General features: G+C 47.7%; 1 protein-coding gene across 5 annotated transcripts in view, besides 8 other annotated features; it reads right to left on the bottom strand.

The window, feature by feature from the left end:
• Window positions 1,999-2,293: an enhancer, noted in NCBI's record as "tiled region #11054; HepG2 Activating DNase matched - State 8:EnhW". NCBI's record gives its function as "activates a minimal TATA promoter and a strong SV40 promoter by Sharpr-MPRA in HepG2 cells {active_cell/tissue: HepG2}" and the evidence as "EXISTENCE:reporter gene assay evidence [ECO:0000049][PMID:27701403]".
• Window positions 2,545-3,136: an enhancer, noted in NCBI's record as "H3K27ac hESC enhancer chr12:49672666-49673257 (GRCh37/hg19 assembly coordinates)". NCBI's record gives its function as "activates a minimal SCP1, AML or CMV promoter by ChIP-STARR-seq in naive H9 embryonic stem cells {active_cell/tissue: H9 hESC(naive)}" and the evidence as "EXISTENCE:reporter gene assay evidence [ECO:0000049][PMID:30033119]".
• Window positions 7,419-27,609, bottom strand: part of TUBA1C (tubulin alpha 1c) — a 46,675-nt gene continuing 26,484 nt past the window's right edge. The window contains exons 2-6 of one of the 5 annotated variants that reach the window (NM_001303115.2): window positions 25,508-25,622; window positions 24,018-24,135; window positions 12,332-12,554; window positions 12,043-12,191; window positions 7,419-9,766 (exon numbers count right to left, since the gene is read on the bottom strand). In NM_001303115.2, coding sequence (NP_001290044.1) covers window positions 8,792-9,766; window positions 12,043-12,191; window positions 12,332-12,452 — 1,245 coding nt within the window. In that variant the 5' untranslated portion in view covers window positions 12,453-12,554; window positions 24,018-24,135; window positions 25,508-25,622 and the 3' untranslated portion in view covers window positions 7,419-8,791. Of the gene's footprint in view, window positions 9,767-12,042; window positions 12,192-12,331; window positions 12,555-16,834; window positions 16,938-24,017; window positions 24,136-25,507; window positions 25,623-27,609 lie in introns of those variants that run through there. The other 4 variants (NM_001303116.2, NM_001303117.2, NM_032704.5 and 1 more) reach the window with 4 other exon arrangements.
• Window positions 7,739-8,033: a silencer, noted in NCBI's record as "tiled region #9693; K562 Repressive non-DNase unmatched - State 14:Gen5'". NCBI's record gives its function as "represses a minimal TATA promoter and a strong SV40 promoter by Sharpr-MPRA in K562 cells {active_cell/tissue: K562}" and the evidence as "EXISTENCE:reporter gene assay evidence [ECO:0000049][PMID:27701403]".
• Window positions 16,308-16,521: a silencer, noted in NCBI's record as "fragment chr12:49659281-49659494 (GRCh37/hg19 assembly coordinates)". NCBI's record gives its function as "represses an EF-1alpha promoter that drives an FKBP-Casp9 reporter gene in an ReSE screen in HepG2 liver carcinoma cells {active_cell/tissue: HepG2}" and the evidence as "EXISTENCE:reporter gene assay evidence [ECO:0000049][PMID:32094911]".
• Window positions 16,586-16,745: an enhancer, noted in NCBI's record as "active region_6310". NCBI's record gives its function as "activates an Ori minimal core promoter by ATAC-STARR-seq in GM12878 lymphoblastoid cells {active_cell/tissue: GM12878}" and the evidence as "EXISTENCE:reporter gene assay evidence [ECO:0000049][PMID:35858748]".
• Window positions 16,876-17,135: a silencer, noted in NCBI's record as "silent region_4428". NCBI's record gives its function as "represses an Ori minimal core promoter by ATAC-STARR-seq in GM12878 lymphoblastoid cells {active_cell/tissue: GM12878}" and the evidence as "EXISTENCE:reporter gene assay evidence [ECO:0000049][PMID:35858748]".
• Window positions 17,176-17,615: a silencer, noted in NCBI's record as "silent region_4427". NCBI's record gives its function as "represses an Ori minimal core promoter by ATAC-STARR-seq in GM12878 lymphoblastoid cells {active_cell/tissue: GM12878}" and the evidence as "EXISTENCE:reporter gene assay evidence [ECO:0000049][PMID:35858748]".
• Window positions 24,842-25,559: an enhancer, noted in NCBI's record as "H3K27ac hESC enhancer chr12:49650243-49650960 (GRCh37/hg19 assembly coordinates)". NCBI's record gives its function as "activates a minimal SCP1, AML or CMV promoter by ChIP-STARR-seq in naive H9 embryonic stem cells {active_cell/tissue: H9 hESC(naive)}" and the evidence as "EXISTENCE:reporter gene assay evidence [ECO:0000049][PMID:30033119]".

The following is a 27,609-nucleotide window of genomic DNA, read 5'->3' as shown; positions in this document are numbered from 1 at the left end:
GTTTGAGATCAGCCTCACCAACATGGAGAAACCCCATCTCTAATAAAAAATACAAAATTAGCTGGGCATGGTGGCAGGCGCCTGTAATCCCACCTACTTGGGAGGCTGAGGCAGGAGAATCGCTTGAACCCGGGAGGCAGAGGTTGCGGTGAGCTGAGATTGCACCACTGCACTCTAACCTGGGCAACAAGAGCGAAACTCTGTCTCAAAAAAAAAAAAAAGGAAGAATATGGCACACTGTTTGGACTTGCAGATGTTCTATCCTTTTTTTTTCCCCCTTGGGACAGGGTCTTGCTCTGTCACCTAGGCTGCAGTGCAGTGGCATGAACACGGCTCACTGTAGCCTTGATCTCCCAGGCTCAATCAATCCTCCTACCTCATCATCCCGAATAGCTGGGACTATAGGTCCGTGCCACAGCACCAGGGTAATTTTTACATTTTGTGTAGAGACAGGGTCTCACTATGTTGCCAGGCTGGTCTCGAATTCCTAGCCTTAAGCAATCCTTCCTCCTCAGCCTCACAAAGTGTTGGTATTACAGCAGAAGCCACCATGCCTGGTGTCTGTGTTCCTTTTATTTATGGTTTGAGTTTGGCCAAGGCACCTGGGAAGACTGGAAGGAAAAAGCAGATCCATTTGGTGGACTAGGAACTGCAGGTGGAAGAAGGCAACATATGAGGAAAGAAAGAGGGGACAGGATCTTCACTCGCCCAAGGCAAGGTTTGCACTGGCAAAGGGGTTCTGCAAATTCAAAAGGGCCTTAATATTTTTTGGCCTGAATGAAAGCAGGGCCTTCATATTTTTATTATTAATAATTTTACCACAAATTTCTGGCCAAGCACAGTGGCTCATACCTGTAATCCCAGCGCTTTGGGAGTCTGAGGAATGTGAATTTCTTGAGTCCAGGAGTTTGAGACCAGCCTAGGCAACACGGTGAAACCCCATTTCTTTTTTTTTTTTTTTTTTTGAGACAGAGTCTTGCTCTGTAGCCCAGGCTGGAGTGCAATGGTGCAATCTCCACTCATTGCAACCTCCACCTCCTGGGTTCAAGTGATTCTCCTGCCTCAGCCACCTGAGTAGCTGGGATTACAGGCGTGTGCCACCACACCTGGTAGAGATGGGGCTTCACCATATTGGCCAGGCTGGTCTCAAACTCCTGACCTCAAGTGATCTGCCCACCTTGGCCTCCCAAATTGCTGGGATTACAGGCGTGAGCCACCGTGCCCTGCCAAAACCCTGTTTCTATTACAAAAGAAGAAGGAGGAAGAGAAGGAGGAAGAGGAGGAGGAGGAGGAGGAAGAAGAGGGGAGGAGGAAGAAGAAAATACAGAAAAAAATTCTTTTTTTTTTTTTGGAGACAGGGTCTTGCTCTGTCGCCCAGACTGGAGTGCAATGGTGCGGTCACAGCTCACTGCCTCCTGGGCTCAGCTCAAACCCTTTCACCTCAGCCCCCGGAGTAGCTGGGACCACAGGCACACACCACTATGCCCAGCTTCTTCTACTTTATTTTATTTTATTTTTGTAGAGACAGGGTTTTGCTATGCTGCCCAGGCTGGTCTCGAACTCCTGACCTCAAGTGGTCTACCCATCTCAGCCTCTGAAAGTGCTGGGATCACAGACATGAGCCACCACGCCCGGCAGAAAATAAGGAAAAAAAAATCTATTAACAATTACATAAGGCTTTAATGTTAGTTAGAATGCTTTTGGCAGGAAAAAATAGAAGACCCAAATCAAAATGTCCTAAACAATAAGGGGACTAAAAATCTTGTAAAAACTTCGGAGGCAGAGCAAGGTTTGGTGTCAAGGTTGGTTAATTCAGGGGCTCAACACTCTATCGGGGCCCATGCTCTTTTCAGCTTTCTGTGTTGCCTTGCTATTGAGCGGTAGCTTTTGTCCTCGTGTTTGTCCCATTCTGGTCACAAGACGGCTGCAGCAACCTCAAGCACCAGGCACAAGCACAAGCACAAGCACAATGTGCTCACGCAGTAATGCCCAGGGCTGCAAGAGGAAAATCCTTTCCCTGAGTTCTTTTTTAAGAGCAAGGAAATTTTTGCAAGAATATCTTCCTTCCAACCCCCAACCGGCAGACATTACCTCACCTCTCATTTCCATAATTACATCACATGCTGGTTCCTTAACCAGGCCCTGGCGAAACAACTGGAATTACCTTGATTGGCTTAGGGGAAGGTTCACCCTGGTAGTGAAGCCCAGCCCCTCCAATGCACATGGGTGTCCCACACCAGGACAGAGCTGCGTTGTGTTGGCAGGTGGAACAAGCTGGGAATGGCTTTGAAGTAGCTATGCAACAGTGGCTACTGCCTGTGACAGCCTCTTCTGTGACATGTGGCATATGCTGCCTCGAATTGGGATTATGCATGTGTGGTCTGTCTCTACAATCTGAGAAGCAAAAAGCTAAATATATTTCCTATAGTACCCAGCACAGTGACTTGCACCAAACAGGTGTTGCAAAAATAATGAACGAATAAAACTTGAAAGTTGAAAATGAAGCCCAGTGCGGTGTGCTGTTGTCTCAGCTACACAGGAGGCTGAAGTGGGAGGAGTGTTTGAGCCCAGGAGTTCAAGGCCAGCCTGGGCAACATAGTAAGACTCAGTCTCTAAAAAAATAAACTTAGCAAGTATCAGGCTTAATTTAAAAAAAAGAAAGAAAGAAAGAAAGAAAGAAGAACGGCCAGGTGCGGTGGCTCACGCCTGTAATCCCAGCACTTTGGGAGGCCAAGGCAGGCGGATCACAAGGTCAAGAGTTCGAGACCAGCCTGGCCAACATGGTGAACCCTCAGCTCTACTAAGAATACAAAAATTAGCCAGGAGTGGTGGCGGGTACCTGTAATCCCAGCTACTCAGGAGGCTGAGGCAGGAGAACTGCTTGAACCCGAGAGGCGGAGCTTGCAGTGAGCTGAGATGGCACCACTGCACTCCAGCCTGGGTGACAGAGCAAGACTCTGTATTGGAAAAAAAAAAAGAAAGAAAGAAAAACAAACAAAAAACTGGAGATGATTGCCAGAATAGTATAATTGGATTACCTTTGCCAAGGGCATTTCAGTATTTGTTTACTCTTGGACTAGACATCTCTTGGAAGCCAAATGAGATATTTGATAAAAATAGAGAAGTGTGGCCGGGCGCGGTGGCTCACGCCTGTAATCCCAGCACTTTAGGAGGCCGAGGCGGGCGGATCACGAGGTCAGGAGATCGAGACCATCCCGGCTAAAACGGTGAAACCCCGTCTCTACTAAAAATACAAAAAATTAGCCGGGCGTAGTGGCGGGCGCCTGTAGTCCCAGCTACTTGGGAGGCTGAGGCAGGAGAATGGCGTGAACCTGGGAGGCGGAGCTTGCAGTGAGCCGAGATCCCGCCACTGCACTCCAGCCTGGGCGACAGAGAGAGACTCCGTCTCAAAAAAAAAAAAAAAAAAAAAAAAAAAATAGAGAAGTGTGCAGAGAGGGTGAAGGGAGAGAGAGTGGGGTTGAATTTATACCCACCCTCTTCCATGAGTTAAACTAATTTCTGTAGACAAAATCTTTGTGTAATTAGGAAATCTTTATATTCTGTAAAACCTTTATAGTCTGTTCCAATTAAAAAAAAAAAAGGCCAGGCGCGGTGGCTCACGCCTGTAATCCCAACACTTTGGGAGGCCAAGGCGGGCGGATCACAAGGTCAGGAGATGGCCAACATGATGAAACCCTGTCTCTACCAAAACTACAAAAATTAGCTGGGCGTGGTAGTACATGCCTGTAGTCCCAGCTACTTGGGAGCCTGAGGCAGGAGAATCACTTCAACCCGGGAGGCGGAGGTTGCAGTGAGCTGAGATCACACCACTGCACTCCAGCCTGGCGACAGAGACAGACTGTCTCAAAAATAATAAATAAATAAATAAATAAGAGAGAGAGAGAAAAAAAAGTCCAGTAGGGAGACGACTGTTTAAAAGCATTTTTTGTATTATGACTAAAGCAGACATGTCTCTAGTTCTGGAAGGTTCATTGATTCTGACTATTGCTCTCCTGCTGTAGACTCGGAGGGAGTGTAGAGGAGGAAAGAACTGTTTTCCCAAAACCTGCTTGGGGCTGACAATGACAAATTCAGGGGCACTAGGTTCTTGGCATGAAAGGGGCAGTGACAGGCTAATGAGATGTCAGCAAAGGGGACCTATTTCACGGGGCGAGGGCCCACTCCTGCTCCACAGCCCCCACACCCAAGGGTCTATTTTCTCTTCAGCTTCTGCTGCCTTGTGTCTCCTAGATAGTCGCCCTGGCATTGGGCTCCTGGAGCCATCTGCCTGGGTCATCTCTGCCAGCTTCACCTTGCCGCCTCAGCTGACGGGCACTGACCACTCTGGCCCTGGAGCATAGAGGAGCGAGGCTCCAGGTGTACACTGTCCTGCCTGTGCCTCAGCTGGTGTCCCTGTTGGCAGGAGACCAGGCAGGTGGCAGCAGCCATCCTGCAAGGGCACTGTATCTCCCCGTGACCTGAGAACTGAGTTCAGAGGGAGGCCTGGACAAAAATGCCCCCTCACTAGGGAAGCTACAGCCTGGACATGGGGACCAGCTGGCTTTGCTATTTAAGGTCAATGGGCTGCCACCTGGGCCCAGGAACGGGGCTCTTGGGAGGTTTTCTGACAATCACTGGCATAATGAGATCTCTCTGTGACTACAGCTCCATCCAGTGCTCATGTGAGGGCTGGCCCTTGTTGACCTCATGCCCCAAGGGTCCTGGGAGGTGGCACTATCCCCCCAGGACTGGAAAGGCTGCCAGGTGCAGAGCCGATTTCCTCTGGAGCTCCTCGATGGCTGGACGACAGAGTGGAGTCAGCCTAGGCTTTAGAGCCAGAGCTCTGCGGTAAAATTTCAGTTCTGCCACTCATTCTGTAGCCTTAGGCTAGATATTCAATCTCTGTGAGCTATGGAAGTGGGTATAATAACATCACCTCCCAGGGTACTGTGGAAACTGTGAAGGCACCTTTTCCTCCCACCCTGACAGCGCCTCCCCTGACCTCCTTCAGCCTCACCCAGGACTGCCACACCACCTTCCAGCAGAGGCCTGAAGACTGATTTGTAATTGCATAACCCACTTGGCCATCCTCTGGCCTGACAGATTCCTGCTGGAGAAGAGTCACTTGCCAGCTGCTTCCCAAACACAGAATGACAGGTGGACAGGCAGGCCCTTAGCCCCTCAAAGTCATTATCCCCCTTCTCATCCCTGCCCAAAACACCTCTGCCCAGACATGCTAACCTCTCAGTGGTCAGCGGCCTCTGTGGGGGGAAGCAGGTTGCTCCTCTGGCCAGGTTAGGTGAGGGCAGACTAAGCCCTCTGTCCACACAGCCGGACCTGGGGCTGCCGCCAGCCTCAGGAGCCCGAATCCTCTTAGGCTGTGTGCATTTATTCCCATCAAGCTTCAGCGGCCTCAGCATCAGCATCAGTCGCAGCTCTGGGTCCAGACTTTCCATTCGTGCTCAAGGGCAGATCAGATGATTGTCAGCCACAAAGCAGTGACCTAGACCTTGGGGTATATTTGTTCTTGCTGCAGGCTAACTTCTATTCACTCTCCCTCCAACGCAGGAGGGGGAAATCATCTTTACAAGGACAAATGCCCCCCCAACCACTGGCACTTTGCTCTTCCAATTCCCCAGGCTTTATTCTACTGGAATATTTCTTCTCAGCTAAACTTTTCTCTCACCTTCTTTCACCCCAGACCTCTGTGGCTGCTTAAAGCTTTCCAACCTTTTTCACATCTTGGCACATGTAGAAAATAATTCATCTGTAAGGTGTACAGAGGTAAATGGAGGGGGCTACTCCTGGCCAGGGTGACTGGCCCCAGGGAGGATGGGTGAGTCAGGCTCTCCAGTTTCCACCATGTCATTCTAAAAGCCGAAGGGATCCTATATGGGCACCCTGAATCCTATTCTCAGGGCACCCTGCTTGGGAAATGCTGGTGTCATGGGGTGTCACACTCGCCTAAGCTTTGTGATTTATCTGCTCCTTTTCATACACGGGTGTCCCATTCCCATTTCCTCCAGTGCTTGCACTATGGCAATCAGCAGATCTCCTGGCCTGGGAAGGTCTCAAAATCCCCTCTGGCAGGCTAGCCAGCGTCTTCAAGGTTCACCTTCATTTCAGGCATCCCACCCCGCTCCCCTGCCCAGGCTGCAGGAAGAACCTGGCTCATCTGAGAAGTAGCAGTGGCTGAATTTGTGCTGGGGTCTTACCTTGCCCCGAAGGACATAAAACTATGGTTGCTCTCGACAAATGCTATATAAAACCATCCAGAGCACATAGTTGAGGCATCTCAGGCTGCAAAAGCATGCTGTGCTATGCACGCAGGTATAATATATACATTTAAAAAAATTTGAGACATAAAAAAAAATTTAAGGGAAAAAAATTTTTTGTCCCTTAGGCTGGAGGGCAGTGGCACGATCTCAGCTCACTGCTACCTCCACCTCCCAGGCTCAAGCAATCCTCCCACTTCAGCCTCTCAAGCAGCTGGGACCACAGACGTGCACCACCATGCCCAGCTAATTGTTTGTATTTTTAGTAGAGATGGGGTTTCACCATATTGCCCAGGCTGGTCTTGAACTCCTAAGCTCAAGTGATCCACCTGCTTCAGCCTCCCAAAGTGCCGGGATTACAGGCGTGAGCCATGGTACCCGGCCAAAAAAATGCTCAAAATAGACAGGGTCTCACCCTCTTGCCCAGGCACTGGTCTCAGACTCTTGGGTTTAAGCAATCCTCTCACCTTGGCCTCCCAGAGTGCTGGGACTGCAGCTGTGAACCCCAGCGCTGGCCTTAAACATGCACATCTTTCAGATGCAATTCTCAGAGCAAAGGGGCTAAAGTGAGCAATGGGTAAGGGATACAAAACACCTTTGGGAAAGAGATGGTAACTGGGTACACATCAGAATAAAGTAAGTCACGGAGGAGAGGTGAGTATGCCTGCAACTCTGCCCCCAGGGCCCATCTGCTACCACTCATTAGGCATTCCCACTCAGGCAAGCACCCAAGCACCAAAACTGATTCCTCCCTTCTGCATGAAGCTTCACCTTTTGGTCATTGTCCTTTCCCATTGCTTAGTTCAACTGAGTACCAGGCACCAAGCTCTCCAGCTACGTATAACACTCATGCCCCTTCACCCGTCTGCCCCCAAGAACCACGGTCCTCCAACAGGTGCTTGGAAAAAAGTCCAAATCAGAGAACTCACCCCTCTCCAATCTTTCCTACACATACATATTACTCCTACTTCAAATAATCTCCATGACATACAATTGGGTCAAATGCCAATACCAGAAAAACCGGTGACTGTTATTTTGTCTGACATTTCCACTTTCTCTAAACAATAACCCCTTTAGTACGAACCATCTTTGCCACTGTAGGTCTTAGCTAAGTATGGAATAAATCAGGATTCCAAGCCCTTCTCGTGTGACTAATACTTTATTAAAGACTGACAGCAATAGTTCTGGCAGTGTGGCTGGGCACTTGAATTTTGGCTCCAGCAGTTACTGTTATCTAACCCTTTGCTACTGTACATGTGGTCACATCAGACCAACAGCATCATTTGGGAGGTTATTAAAAAACGTATCTAGGGGCCAGGTGTAGTGGCTCACTCCTGTAATCCCAGCACTTTGGGAGGCTGAGGCAGGATTGCCTGAGCCCAGGAGTTCAAGGCCAGCCTAAGCAACATGGCAAAACCCCATCTCTACCAAAAAAAAAAAAAAAAAAAAAAAAAAAAATTACAAGAATCAGCCAGGCATGGTGGAACACACCTGTAGTCCTGGCTACTTGGGAGGCTGAGGTGGGAGGATGGCTTAGCCCAGGTCAAGGTGGGGGTGAGCTATGATGGTGCCATTGCACTGCAGCCTGGGAAAGAGACCATCTCAAAGAAAAAAAATTTAAGACGTGTCTGAAGCCTCACCTCAAGCCTATAGAATTAGAACCTGCATTTTGTTTTTAAATTTGAGAGTCAGGGGTCTCCGTCACCCAGGCTGGAATGCAGTGGTGCAATCATGGCTCACTACCTCAACCTCCTTGGGCTCAGGTGGTCCTCCCACCTATAGGCAGGTGCCATCACAGCATGCAAATTTTTGTTTTGGTAGAGATGGGTTTTCACCATGTTGCCCAGGCTGGTCTCGAATTCCTGGGCTCGTGATCCACCCAACTTGGCCTCCCGAAGTGCATGAGCCACCAGGTTGACCCCAAACCTGCATTTTAATATCTACAGGTGATTCACATCCATTTTAGTTAGAGAAGCACTGGCTCAATCTGAACCCGTTTCCTCACTTACAAAATGATTCTATAACCACTTAATTCAGGCCCAAATTAAACAGATAAACCAAGAAGCTGGGCAGTGGCTCATGCCTATAATCAAAACTTTGAGAGGTTGAGGCAGGAGGATCACTTGAAGCCAGTTGAAGACCACCCTGGGCAGCATAGCAAGGCCCCATCTCTACAAGAAATAAAAATAGCTGGGCATGGTGGTGTGCACCTGCAGTCCCCAGCTACTTAGGAGGCTGAAGCAGGAGAATCACATGAGTCCAGGAGCTCGAGGCTGCAATGAGCTATGTATTATCATGCCACTGCACTCCAGCCTGGGTGACAGAGCAAGACCCTCGACTCAGGTGGTTTCATCTACCAGCCTCATACATCCAACTTTAACTGGATCAAGTATTTAAGTCAGCTCGACATTTAAAATGGAAACTTCAATTTTATTAACAATTTACGGCAATAGACATTTACAGAACAAAAATAAGACAGTTCCAAGACAAAGGAGTGTAAAAGTACAGCACACAGGTTAATACTCTTCACCCTCATCCTCTCCGTCAGCACTATCTGCTCCAACCTCCTCATAATCCTTCTCAAGGGCAGCCATGTCCTCACGGGCCTCTGAAAACTCGCCTTCCTCCATCCCCTCACCCACGTACCAGTGAACAAAGGCACGCTTGGCATACATCAGGTCAAACTTGTGGTCCAGGCGAGCCCAGGCCTCGGCAACAGCTGTGGTATTGCTCAGCATGCACACAGCTCTCTGTACCTTGGCCAGGTCTCCGCCAGGCACCACAGTGGGAGGCTGGTAATTAATGCCAACCTTGAAGCCAGTGGGGCACCAATCCACAAACTGGATGGTACGCTTGGTTTTGATGGTGGCAATGGCAGCATTGACATCTTTGGGAACCACGTCACCACGGTATAACAGGCAGCAAGCCATGTATTTACCATGGCGAGGGTCACATTTCACCATCTGGTTGGCTGGCTCAAAGCAAGCATTGGTGATCTCTGCTACAGTAAGCTGTTCGTGGTAGGCTTTCTCAGCAGAGATGACAGGGGCATATGTGGCCAGAGGGAAGTGGATGCGGGGGTAGGGCACCAGGTTGGTCTGGAATTCTGTCAGGTCAACATTCAGGGCTCCATCAAATCTCAGGGAAGCAGTGATGGAGGACACAATCTGGCTAATAAGGCGGTTAAGGTTAGTGTAGGTTGGGCGCTCGATATCGAGGTTTCTACGACAGATGTCATAGATGGCCTCATTGTCTACCATGAAGGCACAATCAGAGTGCTCCAGGGTGGTGTGGGTGGTGAGGATGGAGTTGTAGGGCTCAACTACAGCTGTGGAAACCTGGGGCGCCGGGTAAATGGAGAACTCCAGCTTGGACTTCTTGCCATAATCAACTGAGAGACGTTCCATGAGCAGCGAGGTGAACCCAGAACCAGTTCCCCCACCAAAGCTGTGGAAAACCAAGAAGCCCTGAAGACCGGTGCACTGGTCAGCCTGCAAAATAAAAAAGTTTCATTTTAGTGTTGCGAAAGTTTCATTTAGTGTTCACATTTGGTGAAACCTACAGAGGACTTCTATAAATCTATGGCTACTCCAATTGCAATTTTAAAACTCTTCTGGGCCAGGCGCAGTGGCTCACGCCTGTAATCAACACTTTGGGGGTCCAAGGTGGGAGGACCATTTGCATTTGAGCCCAGGGGTTCAAGACTGATGATCAGGCCACTGCACTCCAGCCTGGATGACAGAGCAGACCCTGTCTCCAAAAAAAAAAAAAAGCTTTTAAGTGCTAAGTGATTCAGAACAACTTTTCACAATCAAGTCCTTGAGCAGAAAAACCTTTGCTAAGACTATTTTAAGATGAACTATTGCCTTAGGCAGAGGAATCACAAGGCCTGGGCTTGCATACAGGGCTCAAGTTTTGGTAACTGGGAAGGCAGCCTCTGGTTCTCTTGCTGTGGCCACAGAACAGGGCAGTTTCTTAGTTGGAGAGGTCCTAAGGGGCAGGCCCAGGACCACCAGCCTGGTACAGTGGATGTCTTGTAAAGATTTGGCAGCTGCTTTCTGAGGTGGAACAACAGAATAGCCAAAGTTCTAACACCCTGGTACTGGAGTCAGGCTGTGTCAGGATCCGGCTGTACCAGTTCCTTACTGTATGACCACATTCATTTCTCAGTTCTTCCACTGATTAAGTGAGAATAGTAATCACCTTAGGTTGAGAATTAAGTAAGTACTCAGCATAGTGCTTGGCACAGTAAGCACAGTATTGGCCCAGTAAGCCAATATATGACACTAGGTACCAAGAAGCCCATTTATTTTGGGTAAAGTGACACAACCACAATTCCATGAGACCTCAGGTTGTTGGGGATTTCCTCCACCTAACTGGGCTATTTTGGTTAGCAAACTGCTACTTTACGAAGGAATGATTTTGACCTTCCAAATAAAGTATTCTGTTGTAAACTCTTGCTTCTCCAAGTGATGGGCCTCAGATTTGTGAACATTCTCTACTCAGCTCCCTTATAGCCTGTGGGTCCATCAACTACATGAGATCAATGCACAGGGCAGACTCTCGCCTACCAATTACACCAGTTAAGCCTCCTGTGAGCACAGTAATGACAAGGACAAATGCAATTGTTTTGGTAGGCAATAAACCTCACGTTCCAGAACCCTAAATAGCTACTAGGTTTATTTGTCCTAAAGGCAGGTCCCTGATTTTCCAAGTCAGTGCTTATAACTAAAGCTTAGGGTTTTTTTTGTTTGTTTGTTTTTTTGAGATGGAGTCTCACTCTGTCGCCCAGGCTGGAGTGCAGTGGCACGATCTCGGCTCACTGCAAGCTCCGCCTCCCGTGTTCACGCCATTCTCCTGCCTCAGCCTCCCTAGTAGCTAGGACTACAGGCGCCCACCACCACGCCCGGCTAATTTTTTTGTATTTTTAGTAGAGAGGGTTTCACCATGTTAGCCAGGATGGTCTCGATCTCCTGACCTCATGATCCGCCCACCTTGGCCTCCCAGTGCTGGGATTACAGATGTCAGCCACCGTGCCCAGCCTAAAGCTTAGTTTTTAAGCATCGGAAACATCAGTCCAGTTTTGCTGGGAAGACTACGTAAACATCTGAGAAAGTATGAAGCCATGAATGATGAGGCTATTCTATTTTAGAATGGAGCAGTCATGGCTGGGCTTAATACAATGTGATTTTCTTGACAAGTTACTCTGCCCAGACCATCATGCTTGATCTCTGGTTAATTACTTACAAGCTGCCCACATGCCTAAGGAGCAAAGAGTCATCTGATTGCCAGGCTCTTAATTAAAGTGATCCAAACAGCACACTTCATAAGGAAGCTCCCGACTCCACTTTCAGCAGTACTGGAAGTTTCCAGTATTGGCTGTTTCTTGTCAGTGTGACACTGGCTTCTTGTTCTCTGAACTTTCTGTATTGACATGAAGGAACCATCCCAGATTTTTAAAAAATGACTCTGATCAATTAGTTACATGTAGAAGTCAGCTACCTACTCACTCAGTATGACTAAGATGACCTCAAAAGGGGTGTCTCAGCTTGAAGCAAAATAGGCTAAAGAGCACTTACTTCTACCCCATAGTTGTCCCATAAATCCAAGATCATCTGGTTCAGAAATCCAATTAATTTAGTGAACAGATACATTTTAGTTGCAATGCAAATAGTCTCATTTTAGTTGCAAAGAATGATTTCTGTAGTTTGGTCTCAGAACTGCAAAAGAAACTCTCATCCCACTTTATTTAAAGTACTATACTTACCAGCTTGCGAATTCGGTCCAACACGAGGTCAATGATCTCCTTGCCAATGGTGTAGTGCCCTCGGGCATAGTTATTGGCAGCATCTTCCTTGCCTGTGATGAGTTGCTCAGGGTGGAAGAGCTGGCGGTAAGTGCCAGTGCGAACTTCATCTGGAGAACATGATGGGGGAGGAGGAGGAGGGACAAGGAGCGGGGAGGGAGAGTGGGTGAGTGACCAGCGGAGCCCCCCCAGGACAGACCTCCTGTCCCAGCACCCTGGGATCTCACTTGGGTTACTGAGGTCAACTCACCAATGACTGTGGGTTCCAAGTCTACAAACACTGCCCGGGGCACATGCTTGCCAGCACCCGTTTCACTGAAGAAGGTGTTGAAGGAATCATCTCCTCCCCCAATGGTCTTGTCACTTGGCATCTGGCCATCGGGCTGGATGCCGTGTTCCAGGCAGTAGAGCTCCCAGCAGGCATTGCCAATCTGGACACCAGCCTGGCCAACGTGGATGGAGATGCACTCACGCTGTGGGAGGAAGAAAGGAAAATGTCAGGGTATAATACATCAGATGGGACATTTAGGAATGATTCACACCTAATGACTGATTAACCTTCAAGACAGATAACTGGCTGGGCGCAGTGACTCACACCTGTAATCCCAGTACTTTGGGAGGCTGAGGCAGGTGGATCACCTGAGGTCAGGAGTTTGAGATCTGCTTGGCCAACATGGCAAAACTGCATCTCTACTAAAAATACAAAAAAAATTAGCCAGGCATGATGGCGCACACCTGTAGTCCCAGCTACTTGGGAGGCTGAGGGAGGAGAATCACTTGAACTCAGGAGGTGGAGGTTGCAGTGAGCTGAGATCACACCACTGCCCTCCAGCCTGAGTGACAAGATATTCCATCTCAAACAAAAAAAGATAACCATCTTTCAGCAGGCCACTCCTGCTCAGGGACTATAATTTCAAAAGCAAAAATCTTTGAAGACCTAATTCAGCAAAAGTGCCTTGGAAAACCAAAGATGTGTTCATGAACTACTCGGCAAGACCAGACAGTTGCTTTGTAGCCACAGTAGATATGATTCCTTAAACTAAGGCAAAATTCCCCTTTCCAGCTCTGATTCATTCTCTGAATGATTGTGTAACTACTGAGCTCATTCTGGTCCCGCTTTAATCCTATTCTTTAGGAGACAAAAGCTTCTCTCTCCCTCCTTTAAAACCAGCTTAAACCAGCAAACTATAGCCATGACTCATGAAGAAAATGCTGGATAAGCAGCAGTTAGCTGTATTTTAAAAACTGTGGTCAGAGGCAGCTTTTTAACCAAGTGGAAGAATCTAATCTATAGGAAGAACGTTTTTCCTTCACCGTCAAAACATCTCCGGAAGAGGGAAGACCATAATAATAAAGGCTAGAAATGTTACCAAGACTTTACTGATAGGTTAAGAAATTAGTTGTTTCTGGCTCACACCTGTAATCCCAGCACTTTGGGAGGCCAAGGTGAGCAGATCACTTGAGGTCAGGAGTTTGAAATCAGCCTGGCCAACATGGTGAAACTGTCTCTATTAAAAATACAAAAAAAAAAAAAATTATGGTAGAGCACAGTGGCTCATGCCTGTAATCCCAGGACTTTGGGAGACCGAGGTGGGTGGATCATCTGAGGTCAGGAGTTCAAGAACAGCCTGGCCAATATGCTGAAACCCCATCTCTACTAAAAATACAAGAATTAGCCAGGCATGGTGGTGCGCGCCTGTAGTCCCAGCTACTCGGAAGACTGAGGCATGAGAATCACTTGAACCCAAACCCAGGAGGTGGCGGTTGCAGAGATCTCGCCACTGCACTCCAGCCTGGGCAACAGAGGCAAGACTCTGTGTCTGTGTCTGTGTGTGTGTGTCTCTCTCTCATAGATATATATTTATGAGGTGGACCAAGTTAATTTAGAAAGGCCAGAGGGGCCAAAGCAGAATATGGTTAGAAATTACCAAACCCACACCTGCTAAGTAAAATAAGGGAATAAACATAGAATCTGTACACACAGACTTAACAGGAAAACAAAAAGGGTGTTTGGCATTTCATCATAAGTCAGATTAGCCACTTTGGAGACTGGCAGAGCACTAAGTTCTCAAAGGACCTGGTCTCATAAGCCAAGAGATAATAAAAACCCTAATTACTCACAACCTTTGACCTCCTTCCCACCTACACTCCCCATGAAACAATCAAGGTCTCTTAACCACATCAGCAAGCTCAGTATCACCTGGGTCTACTCACCCAGCTCCAGGGGTGTGGGAGAACAGGAGTAGTTTGTTCTAATTAGCCCATGACTATTTACCATTGCATCATGTTTACCTTTTTGAGAAAAAGTCTCGCTCTGTCGCCCAGGCTGGAGTGCAGTGGAAACTCCGCCTTCCAGGTTCAAGCGATTTTCCTGCCTCAGCCTCCCAAGTAGCTGGGATTACAGGTGCCCACCACCATGCCTGCCTTATTTTCGTATTTTTAGTAGAGATGGGGTTTCACCATGTTGGCCAGGCTGGTCTTGAACTCCTGACCTCGGGTGATCTACTCACCTCGGCCTCCCAAAGTGCTGGGATTATAGGCGGGAGCCACCACGCCCGGCATCATGTTTACCTTTAACTGGACTTTGGAAACGCCCAAGCCCCAAAAAGCTGGAGATAACCAGATACCTGATCATGATGGCCCCCAGGCCCAAGGAGATAAAGTATCTGAGAAGATCCACTCATTCTAACAAATGCTTCTTCTGTTTAAATGCCGTTTCTATTTTGCGCCCGCAATTTTTCTTTCATTGCTCAGTCTAAACTGCCTTCTTGAAGCTTAGCAGGCAGTCAGCGGCCACTGACTTACCCTCCACTCTCCCCTGGCCACGTGGGAGAAAGTGAGGCACAGGTGGAGTCAATTGGTCTAGTGTTAACTGGATAAGCAGCTCTTACCTCTCGTTAAAAAACAAGAAAATTTAACCAGTGTTCACCTAAACCAGTCCGCTGCCGCTCTCCTGCTTTTTAAAGGGTCTCACTACTTTGTGAATCCCACTTTTACCAGTATCTTTTTGGTACTGCTTGAAAAGAAGCAATAAGTTGTTACAGTGCGACATATACATGTATTTACATTTGATTTTTATATTTAAATTCATGTACGTATTTTTGAGATAAGGTCTCGCTGGAGTGCAGTGGTGCGATCTGGGCTCACTGCAGCTTCCACCTCCCGGGATCAAAAGATCCTCCCACCCCTGCCTCCCGAGAAGCTGGGACTACAGGCACGCACCACGACGCCCAGATAATTTTTGTATTTTTAGTATAGACGGAGTTTCACCGTGTTGCCCAGGCTGGTCTCGACCTCCTGAGCTCAAGCGGTCCTCCCGCCTCGGACTCCCAAAGTGCTGGGATTACAACCATAAGCCATCGCGCCCGGCCTAAGATAGTTGTTTTCAATACTTCTGGAAGCTTTATAGAAAACACTCAAGTTACGTATAATTTCACGTTTCTTGAAAACTGAACTAAGAACACGTGGTACTAGTTTACTCTGGGGTTTGCGGGTTTTTTTTTGTTTTTGGACGGAGTCTTGCTCTGTCGCCCAGGCTGGAGTGCAGTGGCGCGATCTCGGCTCACTGCAAGCTCCGCCTCCCGGGTTCACGCCATTCTCCTGCCTCAGCCTCCCGAGTAGCTGAGACTACAAGCGCCTGCCACCACGCCCAGCTAATTTTTTTTTTTTTTTTTTTAGTAGAGACGGGGTTTCACCGTGTTAGCCAGGATGGTCTCGATTTCCTGATCTCGTGATCCACCAGCCTCAGCCTCCCAAAGTGCTGGGATTACAGGCGTGAGCCACCGCGCCGGGCCGGGTTTGCGTTTTTTTGAGACAGTTTCGCTCTGTCGTCCAGACTGGAGTGCAGTAGCGCGATCTCGGCTCAGGGAAACCTACGCCTCCTGGGTTCAAGCGATTTTCCTGCCTCAGCCTCCCGAGTAGCTGGGATTACCGGCGCGCGCCACCACGCCCAGCGTTTTTTTTTGTTTTTTTTTTTTTTTAAAGTAGAGACGGGGTTTCACCATGTTCGCCAGGTTTGTCTCGAACAAGTGCTGGGATTACAGGCGTGAGCCACTGCGCCGGGCCAACTCTGGTTTTATAAGAAAATATCCTTTTGTGGACGTGTTTTTAAACCCGGCTTAAGTAGAAAGCTTCAGCTATAAACCTACCACTAGATTAACACCAGAAATGCAGGATTAGGCAACGTGAAAGTTAATTATTCCCTTCCAAGGAGGTGCCTGCCTCCATTCTCAAGTGGACTGGCGCAGTTGGAAGCTCTCCCCAGGGCAGGGCCACAGGTGACTCAGCAGCGAGTCACTGGGCGCTGGAGAGGGGGAGCCAGGAAGTGCTGCACCGTCGGTGCGGGAGCGCACGAGGGCCTCCGGGGCCCAGTTTGTAAGGCAGTAGGAAGGAGAGGTCGCTTGAGAAAACGTGGGGAGGGATTTTTAGTTTAAGTTCTTGGAGGCCAATGAGCAGGCTCCCTGACCTTCCTCCCTAGGGCAGTAGCGGGCCCTGCGGGGAAAGCCCTCACTAGGATCAAGAGGGCTTTCCATTTCCACTGATGGCCGCACCCGGGCCAGGTTTTCCGGCCCGAACTGGTGTCTGCCAAGTGAACTCGACCTTCCAGCCCGGCCGCCACAAGCCAGGTTAACCGGAGGGGCCCGGGGTAGTCTGGAGCTGTCCTGGGCGCGGCCCGAGGTGCAGGCAGTAGTTTCCGGGCCCGCCGTCCCCTGGGACGCGCACTCTTCCCCAGCCCCGAGGGAACCCCACTCACCATGACTAGAACTTGAAGGGGTCTGCGGCGGTGAAGGAGGCGAAGGGACGGCAACAAGGATCTCCCACTAACAGACTACCAAGGAGTCCGGGGGAGAAGTAGTGAAAGGGTGGCCGGCCCCGAAGGGCCTTATATACCCGGTCCCCGGCCACGTGTCGGGAGGGCGGGCCCCAGACCCCGCCCCGTGCCGCTGCGGCCCCACCTTCGAGCCCTGGCCTGCGCCCGGCCGCACCCGCGGAGTGGGGGCGCGCGGCGCTGATTGGCGGATTCAAAAGTTCAAACCAAACTCGTCGGAAGGAGCCAGGAGCAGGAAGAGGAGGAAGGGGAGGAAGGGGAGGAAGGGGAGGAAGGGGAGGAAGGGGAGGAAGGGGAGGAAGGGGAGGAAGGGCAGGAAGGGCTCTGGGGCTGGAGAATGGGCCGGGACAGGGACAGAGGTGTCCACTGGGAGGAGGGAGCAGGCCGGACGTCTGCCCCGTCCCCGGTGGGTGCGGGGGCGTCAGGTGGGCAAAACCCCAGCGAGGGGAAGCTCCAGGTAAGAGGGCGACCGCGCCCAGGAGGGAAGCCCTTACTGCACCGCCCCGGCCTCGCCCCCGGTCCCCGCGGCTGCGCTCCCTACGCCGCCGGGGAGGCGCCGACGCCGGGACCAGGCTGCGGGTTCCGCCTCGGAGTCCTGGCTGCCGGGCACCCCGGCTGGGCCCGCGGGCGCCCGCTCCCCTCGCCGCTGAGGGCTGTCCAGAGAGAGGGCTTGCTCCCCACTCTAGGTCTGAATCACCACGAACGCGCCTTAAACTCTATTCCCACCTTTTTGGTTGCTTTTCCTTACGTCCTCTTTAAATGAGCCTTTGGCTTCTAACAGTCTCCTCCCGATAGGCGCAAAAGCAGTTTTTTCAGTTCATTAGGATAATGAATAGCTTACATTTTTTGATTGCTAACTATGCAGAGTAGTTGGCTTTTTTTTTTTTTTTGAGACGGAGTCTCGTTCTGTCACCCAGGCTGGAGTGCAGTGGCGCGATCTCAGCTCACTGCAACCTCTGCCTCCCGGGTTCAAGCGATTCTCCTGCCTCAGCCTCCTGAGTAGCCGAGACTACAGGCGCGTGCCACCACACCTGGCTAAATTTTTGTATTTTTAGTAGAGACGGGGTTTCACAGTGTTAGCTAGGATGGTCTCGATCTCTTGACCTCGTGATCCGCCCGCCTCGGCCTCCCAAAGTGCTGGGAATACAGGCGTGAGCCACCGCGCCTGGCCGAGTAGTTGGCTTTTCATATCACATGATCACATTTCATCCATATGACAAACTCTATGAATTATTATCCCTAGTTTACAGATGAGGAAAGTAGAGCTCCGAGGAATTAAACCCTTCAACACTAACTTGTACTGCGTCATACTAAATGTGCCTCTCTGACCATCTCTGCCAAGGTTTCTCAGAAGCGCCTTTTATTTCTGTTGTTTTTGTTTCTCTGCAACTCTATCATGTTATCTTAGCTCATGAATTCCTTGACCATCTCTGGGAGATACAGAGTTTATGGAAATATTGAGGGAACAAAAGTGAATTTTCTGGCCGGGCACGGTGGCTCATGCCTGTAAGTCCAGCACTTTGGGAGGCCGAGGCAGGCAGGTCACTTGAGGTCAGGAGTTCAAGATATACTTCAACTCACACATACAAAATGGCCCTTGTGGAACATATGTGTAGAGATTTTAGTCTTAGTAGAGCTTTTCAACTTTTTCATTCATTCCCCAGATATATTTAGCACAGTATCCGAGATGCTTAGGGAATATGTTTGTGAGCAAAACTGATGGCTCTGCCTCATGGAGAGGGAATAGGGAAGATAGGGAAGTGGGAGTGGGATAGGGAAGAAAAACAACCAACAGGCCTGGCGCAGTGGCTCAAGTCTGTAATTCTGGCACTTTGGGAGGCGGGCGGATCACTTGAGGTCAAAAGTTTGAGACCAGCCTGGCTAACACGGTGAAACCCCATGTCTACCAAAAAATGTGAAAATTAGTCGAGCATGGTGGTGCACACCTGTAATCCCAACTACTCGGGAGGCTGAGGCAGAATTACTTGAACCTGGGAGGTGGAGGTTGCAGTGAGCAGAGATCGTGCCACTGTACTCCAGCCTGAGTGACAGAGACTCTGTCTCAGAAAAAAAAAAAAAAAAAAAAGAGTAATTCTCTTGTACTTTAAATTAATTTTAAGCATTGGGATCCATATTTAGATTTGCTGCCCTCTGCTGGAATTTTTTGGGGAAAAATTTCCTGGGTAGACAGTTAAACATTTAACCTTTATGTTAACAGATCTTTATGAGTCTAAAAATTACAGTGTAAGGAGAGGCAGAAACTGGACTTACTTTTCAGTTGACAGTTTCCAGAATTCACCAAAAATATGCTAAATTATTATTATTATTTTGACATGGAGTCTCGCTCTGTTGCCCAGGCTGGAGTGCAATGGCATGATGTCAGCTCACTGCAACCTCCACCTCCCAGGTTCAAGCAATTCTCCTGTCTCAGCCTCCCAAGTAGCTGGGGTTACAGGCATGTGCCACCATGCCCAGCTAATTTTTGTATTTTTAGTAGAGATGGGGTTTCACCATGTTGGTCAGACTGGTTTCAAACTCCTGACCTCAGGTGATCCACCAGGCTCAGCCTCCCAAAATGCTGCGATTACAGGCATGAGCCAGTTTGCCCAGACTATGCTAAATTATTAATAGGGTGACAGAAGACACGGTTCAGTGATCAGCCTTTTTTTTTTTTTTTGCTATAAAACTTTTTTTTTTTTTTTTTTTTTTTACACAGGGTCTCACTCTGTCACCCTGGATGGAGTGCAGTGGTGCAGCCTCGACTTTTTGGGCTCAAGCAATCCTCTTGCCTCAGCCTCCCAAGTACCTGGGACTACAGGTGTGTGCTACCATGCCTGGCTAATCTTTTTTTTTTTTTTGTAAAGATGAAGTCCCACTATATTTCCCAGGCTGGTTTTGAACTCCTAGGCTCAAGCAATCCTCCTGCCTTGGCCTCCCAAAGTGCTGGAATCACAGGTGTGAGCCACCACGCCTGGCTAATATATAACTTTGGATGGACATTTCCCCTCCTCAGGGTCCAGGTTTTGAATGTGCAATATGAGGAGATTGGACAGGATCCTCTGTAAGGCCCTTACAGCCCTAACATTCTGTGATGTGTGACTCAAAGTTTGTGGGGTTCATGTGAGCTCTACAAATATGAGCAAAGGAGAAAACATGCTTCCTCAGTCAACATCTTGACTGAAGAATCACCAGAACATTAGATAAATAATTACAGATGGGGCTTTCGTTGTAATCTTACAATGCTTTAGGGAAATAAGCGTTGCATACCTACTGCAGCTTTCTTGGGCTTTAAATGACCATATAGCATGTTCACAAAACATCACAAAACATTAGTAAAGAGAAAAGAATTCAGATAAAACTGAACCTTATTTTTTTTCAGCCTAACTCCTGTTTTCTTTGCTGAGATACTAGTAATGCTGAAGTATTTGTTTGTGTTCAGTTACAAATTACATGATACAATTAATGATGTAGGAATATTTTGTGCTTATGTAGAAATTTATAACAAAATGTTTTCTACTGCAATAGTGCCTTGGTAGAGTTTTTATAAATGAGTTTTTACAAAGGTATTTATTATGGAACTGTGGAAAATAAAGTCCTGAGACTTGAAATAATTTACCCCAAACCACAAGAGATAGGAGTCAGATTAAATACCTACAATGACAGTTGTCTCTTTTATTCTAGGTTCTTCCTCAGCCTGTTATTGGCTCTAGTTAACAGGGAAAGGGAAGTCCTAGAAAAGTCATTTATTGAATTTGTAGTCCTATGGTAAGGTTACTAATGTAACAAGAAAAAAAATTTACCCTACTTTTAACAACCCCAAAGGACAGCTAGGACTCTGCAGTTGAACAACCTTCTTTACAATAAGCATTTTTTTTTTTTTGAGACGGTGTCTCGCTGTGTTGCCCAGGCTGGAGTGCAATGGCGCTATCTTGGCTCAGCGCCACTGAGCCCCAGGCTGGTCTCAAACTCCTGACCTCAGGTGATCTGCCTGCCTCGGCCTCCCAAAGAGCTGGGATTACAGGCATGAGCCCCTGCGCCCAGCCTACAATAAGCATTTTTTAAGATTTATGCATTTCAGCCAGGTGAGGTGGCTCATTTCTGTAATCTCAACACTTTGGGAGGCCAGGGTGGGCAGATTGCTTAAGTCCAGGAGTTCGAGACCAGCCTGGGGCAACATGGCGAAACCCTGTCTCTATGAAAATTAAAAAAAAAATTAGCTGGACATGGTGGTGTGTGCCTGTCGGCCAGCTACTCGGAAGGCTTTAGTGGGAGGATCACTTGAGCCTGGGAGGCTGAGGCTGCAGTACGCCAAGATCATGCAACTGCACTCCAGCCTGGGGGGAAAACAGACCCTGTTCCACCCAAAAGAAATAAAATTATGTATTTCAAGGCAGTTTGTTTTTTCTCCTTTTTTATGCCTTGTATGTACAGAATAGCAGGACATTACTTTCTAGGTAACATGTTATTTTATTTTATGGGAAAAACAGTCCTTGGATCCTTTAACTTTTATTTATTTCTCTTTTATCCCACAAATGTTTGCAGTCTTTAAAAGTTCCTACAAATTCTTTAGAAGTTCTCTTCCTCCCTGATTTGAGCTGTGTTTTGGACGACTTCCCCTTTGGCAGGGCTTAGTATGTGAAATGCTAGCTCCATTCTGGGAGATTACCATAGAAGATTGACTTTCATCTCTGAAATTACACATTTTCTTTCCACTGAGATTTGGCTTGTTCTGATCTGCTTTATATTTCCTAAAAATACAGTGCTGTGGCATCACTTCCTCGGTGACTAACTGAAACAACTGAACCGGTTCCTTTGACCTGTATTCCCACCCTGTATCCCTACACCCAAGACTTCTTACTCAAGCTCTTGCTAATCTTTTCTGGAATTAACTACCATTCCCTTGCCCCCTTCCCCCATTCCTTTAGGATACACAGATAAAATTCTCTTGGAGGAAAAGTAAAAGGAACTACTCATATTCTTCAATTGTCTACAGTATTACTCTAATAAAAGGACTATATCATAGAGCCTGGAAAACTTTTCTATTTATAGTAACATTTATTTAATAAATTTATTCATGTACTGAAAAAGCACTCAGGCAGCCCAAAGTAGAAGGCCCCTGAAGGTTTTCTTTCCCTGCGACTAACTTCTTGCAACCAAGCAAAACAATGGGGAATTTGCTTAGGGACTGTGAATCTCAGGATAATCTTTTCCTTTTTACTTTTCTGCATCTCCACCTGCCTCCTCCTGCTCCCAGGACACACAGCCAGCCATTATCAAGTACACTAAGTAATGTTTTTTCGTACATAATTAAAGCATGGAATCTGAATACTAGAGAGAATATCAGTGCATAAATTATAGTTAGGAAACTTAGAGGTGAAACCGGTCTCTTCTTACTCATGTACAGCCATGTGTCACTTAACAACCAAGATCTGTTCTAAGAAATGCATCCTAGGCAATTTCTTCATTGTGGGAACATCACAGAGTGTACATATGCAAACCTAGCTTATTGCTCCAAAGCTAGAAACTTGTGCAGCCTGTTACTGTACTGAATACTTAGGCGATTGTAACTAGATGGTATTTGTATCTAGGTTGGGCGTGGTGGCTCATGCCTATAATCCCAGCATTTTGGGAGGTTGAGGCAGGCAGATCACTTGAGGTCAGGCGTTTGAGACCAGCCTGGCCTACATGGTGAAAACCCAACTCTATTAAAAATACAAAAATTAGCCAGGCATGGTAGTGTGTGCCAGCTACACAGGAGGCTGAGGCTCAAGAATCGCTTGAACCCGGGAGGCAGAGGTTGCAGTGAGCCGAGATCGCACACTGCATTCCAGCCTGGGCGACACAGTGAGACTCCGTCTCAAAAAAAAAAAAGAAAGTATTTGTATCTAAACATAGAAAACTTATGGTAAAAATATGGTATAAAAGATAAAAGATGGCACACCTATATAGGGCACTTACCATGAATGGAACTTGCAGGACTGGAAGTTGCTTAGTGAGTCAGTGGTAAGTGAATGTGAAGGCCTAGGACATTTAAAAAAATTTTTCATTTTTGGCCGGGTGCGGTGGCTCACACCTGTAATCCCAGCACTTTGGGAGGCCGAGGCAGGTGGATCACCTGAGGTCAGGAGTTCGAGACTAGCCTGACCAACACGGAGAAACCCCGTCTCTACTAAAAATACAAAAAAGTTAGCCAGGCGTGGTGGCACATGCCTGTAATCCCAGCTACTCGGGAGGCTGAGGCAAGAAAATTGTTTGAACCTGGAAGGTGGAGGTTGCAGTGAGCCGAGAGTGTGCCATTGCACTCCAGCCTGGGCACCAAGAGCAAAACTCCGTCTCAAAAAAAAAAAAATTTCATTTTTGAATTATTTATTTATTTACTTATAGCCGGGCATGATAGCTCATGCCTGTAATCCTAGCACTTTGGGAGGCCAAGGCGGGCTGATCACCTGAGGTCAGGGGTTCGAGAGCAGCCTGACCAACATGGCGAAACCCCATCTCTACTAAAAACACAAAAATTAGCCAGGCGTTGTGATGCACACCTGTAATCCCAGCTACTTGGGAGGCTGAAGCAGGAGAATCGCTTGAAATAGGGAGGTGGAGGTTGCAGTGAGCCCAGATCACACCAGTTCACTCCAGCCTGGGCAATAGAGCGAGACTGTCTCAAAAAGAAAAACAAAAAACAAAACATAAATAATTTTTATAAAAACAAGGTCTCACTCTGTTGCCCAGGCTGCTCACAAACTCCTGGGCTCAAGTGATGCTCCCTCCTGGGCCTCCCAAAGTGCTGGGATTACAGGTGGGAGCCACTGCACCCAGCTGACCTAGGACATTATTGTATACTACTGTAGACTTTATAAACACTGACACTTAGGCTACATTAAACTTGAAAACATGTTTCCTTCTTCAATGATAAATTAACTTTAGCTTACTGTAGCTTTAAAAATTTGTAAGGCCAGGTGCTGTGGCTCATGCCTGTAATCCTAGCACTTTGGGAGGCTGAGGTGGGCGGATCACTTGAGGTCAGGAGTTCACAATCAGCCTGGCCAACATGGTGAGACCTCACCTCTACTAAACATAGAAAAAATTAGCCGGATGTGGTGGCACATACCTGTAATCTCAGCTACTTGGGAGGCTGAGGCAGGAGGATCACTGGAACCCGGAAGGCGGAGGCTGCAGTGAGCCAAGATTGTACCACTGCACTCCAGCCTGGGCAGTAGAGTGAGACTCTGCTCAAAAAAAAAAAAAAATTGTAAACTTTTTTTTTTTAAACTTTTTGTCTCTTGTAATAACACAGCTTAAAACACATTGTACAGCTGTACAACATTTTTTTTGAAACAGGGTCTCCCTCTGTCACCCAGGCTGGGGTGCGCTGGCATGATCACGACTCACTGCAGCCTCAACTTCCTGGGCTCAAGCAATCCTCTCGCCTTAGCTTCCTGAATAGCTGAGGTTACCGTGTGCGCCACCATGCTTGGCTAATTTTTTGTATTTTTTGTAGCGAGAGGGTCTTGCTGTTGTCCAGACTGTCTCAAACTCCTGGCCTCAAGTAATCCTCCCACCTTGGCCTCCCAAAGTGCTGGAATTACAAGCTTGAGCCACCTCGCCTGGCCTGCAAACGTAAAATTAAAAAAAAAATAAATGCCTCTTCCTGCCCCCATTCCTCAGCCCCTCCACTGCTAGTACCAGTATCTGCATGCTAGGTGTTCATCCCTGGACTGAGGATTTTAAATGCTTTAACTTATTTATTCTTCACGATAATCCTATGAGGTAGACACTATTGTTACCTCCATTTTACAGGAGAGGAAATGGAGGCTGCCTGGCTTTGGGAACTGCCCTGAGGTCACACAGCAGCGCATGTTGCCTTCAGTCCAGCCTTCTTTGGAATCCCAACCCTTCCCTCAGGAGGTTGGCTTTAAGGCCTTCATTTCTAAACCACTGTCTTCTTTTTTTTTTTTTTTTTGAGATGGAGTGGCTTGATCTGGACTCACTGCAACCTCTGCCCCCTGGGTTCAAGTGATTCTCTTGCCGCAGACTCCCAAGTAGCTGGGATTATAGGCGCCCACCACCATGCCGAGCTAATTTTTGTATTTTTAGTAGAGACGGGGTTTCATCATGTTGGCCAGGCTGGTCTCAAACTCCTGATCTCAGGTAATCCACCCGCCTCAGCCTCCCAAAGTGTTAGGATTACAGGCGTGAACCACCGCTCCTGGCCTAAATTACTGTCTTCTCTCCAAGAACATTAATATAGAACCACTTTTATATCTACAACTTTAATTACATGTTTATTTCCCCAAATCATCAAAATCTGCAATGTCCCCAAACCCCTCAGGAGATTCAGTGAAGGAAGGAGGCTGGAACAGGGTTCTAACAGATGAGGGTCTGCACTTGCAGGCCTCTGTTTTTACAACACTTTGCTGTTTTTGATCCTCTAGTCCATATACCTTTTTCCTTACCCTCCAGCATATTTTGTTCCAATGGAGTCAGGAATATAAGCCCTTTAGAACCCCTGAAAGTTCTTTGTGTGTTTCTGATAGATAAAGATTTCCTCATTTTAAAGTACATAGTTCTCTGTTTTGGTCAGTTTCAGTCCCCACTGACCTTGTAAATGGGTGATACGGAACAGCCTGTAACTACAAAATCGACTTCTTATCCAGTTCCCTCAGCTGCTCCATTTATATGTACGGAACCCAAGGGACAGAGCTGGGTTCACACACTGTGGAAAAGAAAAAGAAGAAATAATTTTTGTTCAAAACAAAGAAACAAATTTTAAATTCACGCTGTTCTTTCTCTTTACTCTGCACGAAATGACTGATAATAAACCAAAGTTGTTTCAGAGGAAAAAAAAATTATCCTGGAACAGAGATCACCTGACAAGCTACACAGCCTGTTTCGCTGATGCTCACTTGCTCAGTTGCATTGGGGGTTTCATGGCCTTTGGTCAAGGCCAGGAGGGCCTAACCCCAAGCACACTAGTTTCTTTTAGTGTTGTTCGTTTGTTTGTTTTTGAGACAGGGTTTCACTCTCTCACCCAGGCTGGAGTGCAGTGGCACCACTGTAGCTCACTGCAGCCTCAACGTCCCAGGCTCAGGTGATCCTCCCACCTGGGCCTCCCAAGTAGCTGGGACTACAGGCACGTGCCACCACACCCACTGGCCTCAGCCTCCCCAAATGCTGGGAATACAGATGTCAGCCACCACGCCCTAGCCTCAAGCACATTGCTATGGAAGCCTAAAAAGATAAATCTGGCTGGGCGTGGTGGCTCACGCCTGTAATCCCAGCACTTTGGGAGACTGAGGCCGGCGGATCACGTGATGTCAGGAGTTCCAGACCAGCCTGGCCAACATGGTGAAACCCTGTCTCTAATAAAAATATAAAAATTAGCCAGGCGTGGTGGCAGACGCCTGTAATCCCAGCTACTCCAGAGGCTGAGTCACAAGAATGGAGAATCGCTTGAACCTGGGAGGTGGAGGTTGCAGTGAGCTGAGATTGCGCCACTGCACTCCAGCATGGGTGATAGAATGAGACTCAGTCTCGAAAAACAAAAAGAAAAGACGAATCTACCAGGTAGAGTGGTTCATGACTGTAATTCCAGCACTTTGGAAGACCAAGTGGGTGGATCACATGAGTCCAGAGGTTTGAGACCAGCCTGAGCAACATAGCAAGACCTCTATCAGAGAAATATATATATATATATATATATATATTTTTTAAAGATAAGTTCAGCTGCTGGGGAAAGTGGTAGTTGGTTTCTTAGCAAGCAACAGAATCATTTTGACCTTTAAAGACAAGGACAAGATAAAATACAAAGGGAAAAGCACTGCAGAGTAAGGAAAGTAAAGATTAGAATAACAAAATACTGAATTAGACTATTCACTGTAAACTCTCAGAGCCATTATAATTACTAGGAATTCTGGCTTATAGTGTGATTAAATAGAGTAACCTTGGCAAGGTCCGTAGTTGTATTTTGGGTGAGTTTCTCCATCTGCATTTGGTGTGAGGATAAGACTTGCTCTAAAACAGCCTGAGGTCAGGTGCAGTGGCTCAAGCCTGTAATCCCAGCAATTTGGGAGGCTGAAGTGGTAGGATCACTTGAGCTCAGGAGTTTGAGACCACCCTGGGCAACACAGAGGGACCCCGTTTCTACTTAAAAAATAAAAAAAAAATATATGTGTTTTGCCTCTGCACCAAGTTCCTGACACAGAGCTCCTAAATCCTTGGAACTTCCTGGGTGATGGGAGCATCTTTTGTACTAATGAGGGTCTCTTGGTGTCTTGCTGGATAGCTTCAGGATAGGGTCTGGTCACCAGAAAGACAAAGTCATGACTAGAAGCTTGAAAATTTAGCCACATCCCCCATCCTCCAGGGAGGGGAGAAGGACTAGGGATTGAGTTAAAAACTGATCATGCCTACGTGATGAAGCCTCCATAAAAATCCCTAAACTACCGGGTTCCCAGAGTTCCAAACTGGTAAACAAGAACATATCCACTTGCAGGAGGGTTGTGCACCCCAGCTCCACTACACTCAAAGGACAGAAGCTGCTGCACTCAGGAGCCTTCCATACCTCACCCTATATATATCCTCATTTGACAATTCATTTCCCGTTTTTTTTTTTTTTTTTTTTTTTTGTTTAGATGGAGCCTCGCTCTGTTGCCCAGGCTGGAGTGCAGTGGCATGATCTCGGTTCAATGATGCAGCTTCCA

Source organism: Homo sapiens, chromosome 12 (genome assembly GCF_000001405.40).
Source record: "Homo sapiens chromosome 12, GRCh38.p14 Primary Assembly".
Classification (NCBI taxonomy): Eukaryota; Metazoa; Chordata; class Mammalia; order Primates; family Hominidae; genus Homo; species Homo sapiens.
The sequence above is the reverse complement of the archived record's forward strand: the minus strand, read 5'-3'. Positions and strand labels throughout refer to the sequence as shown.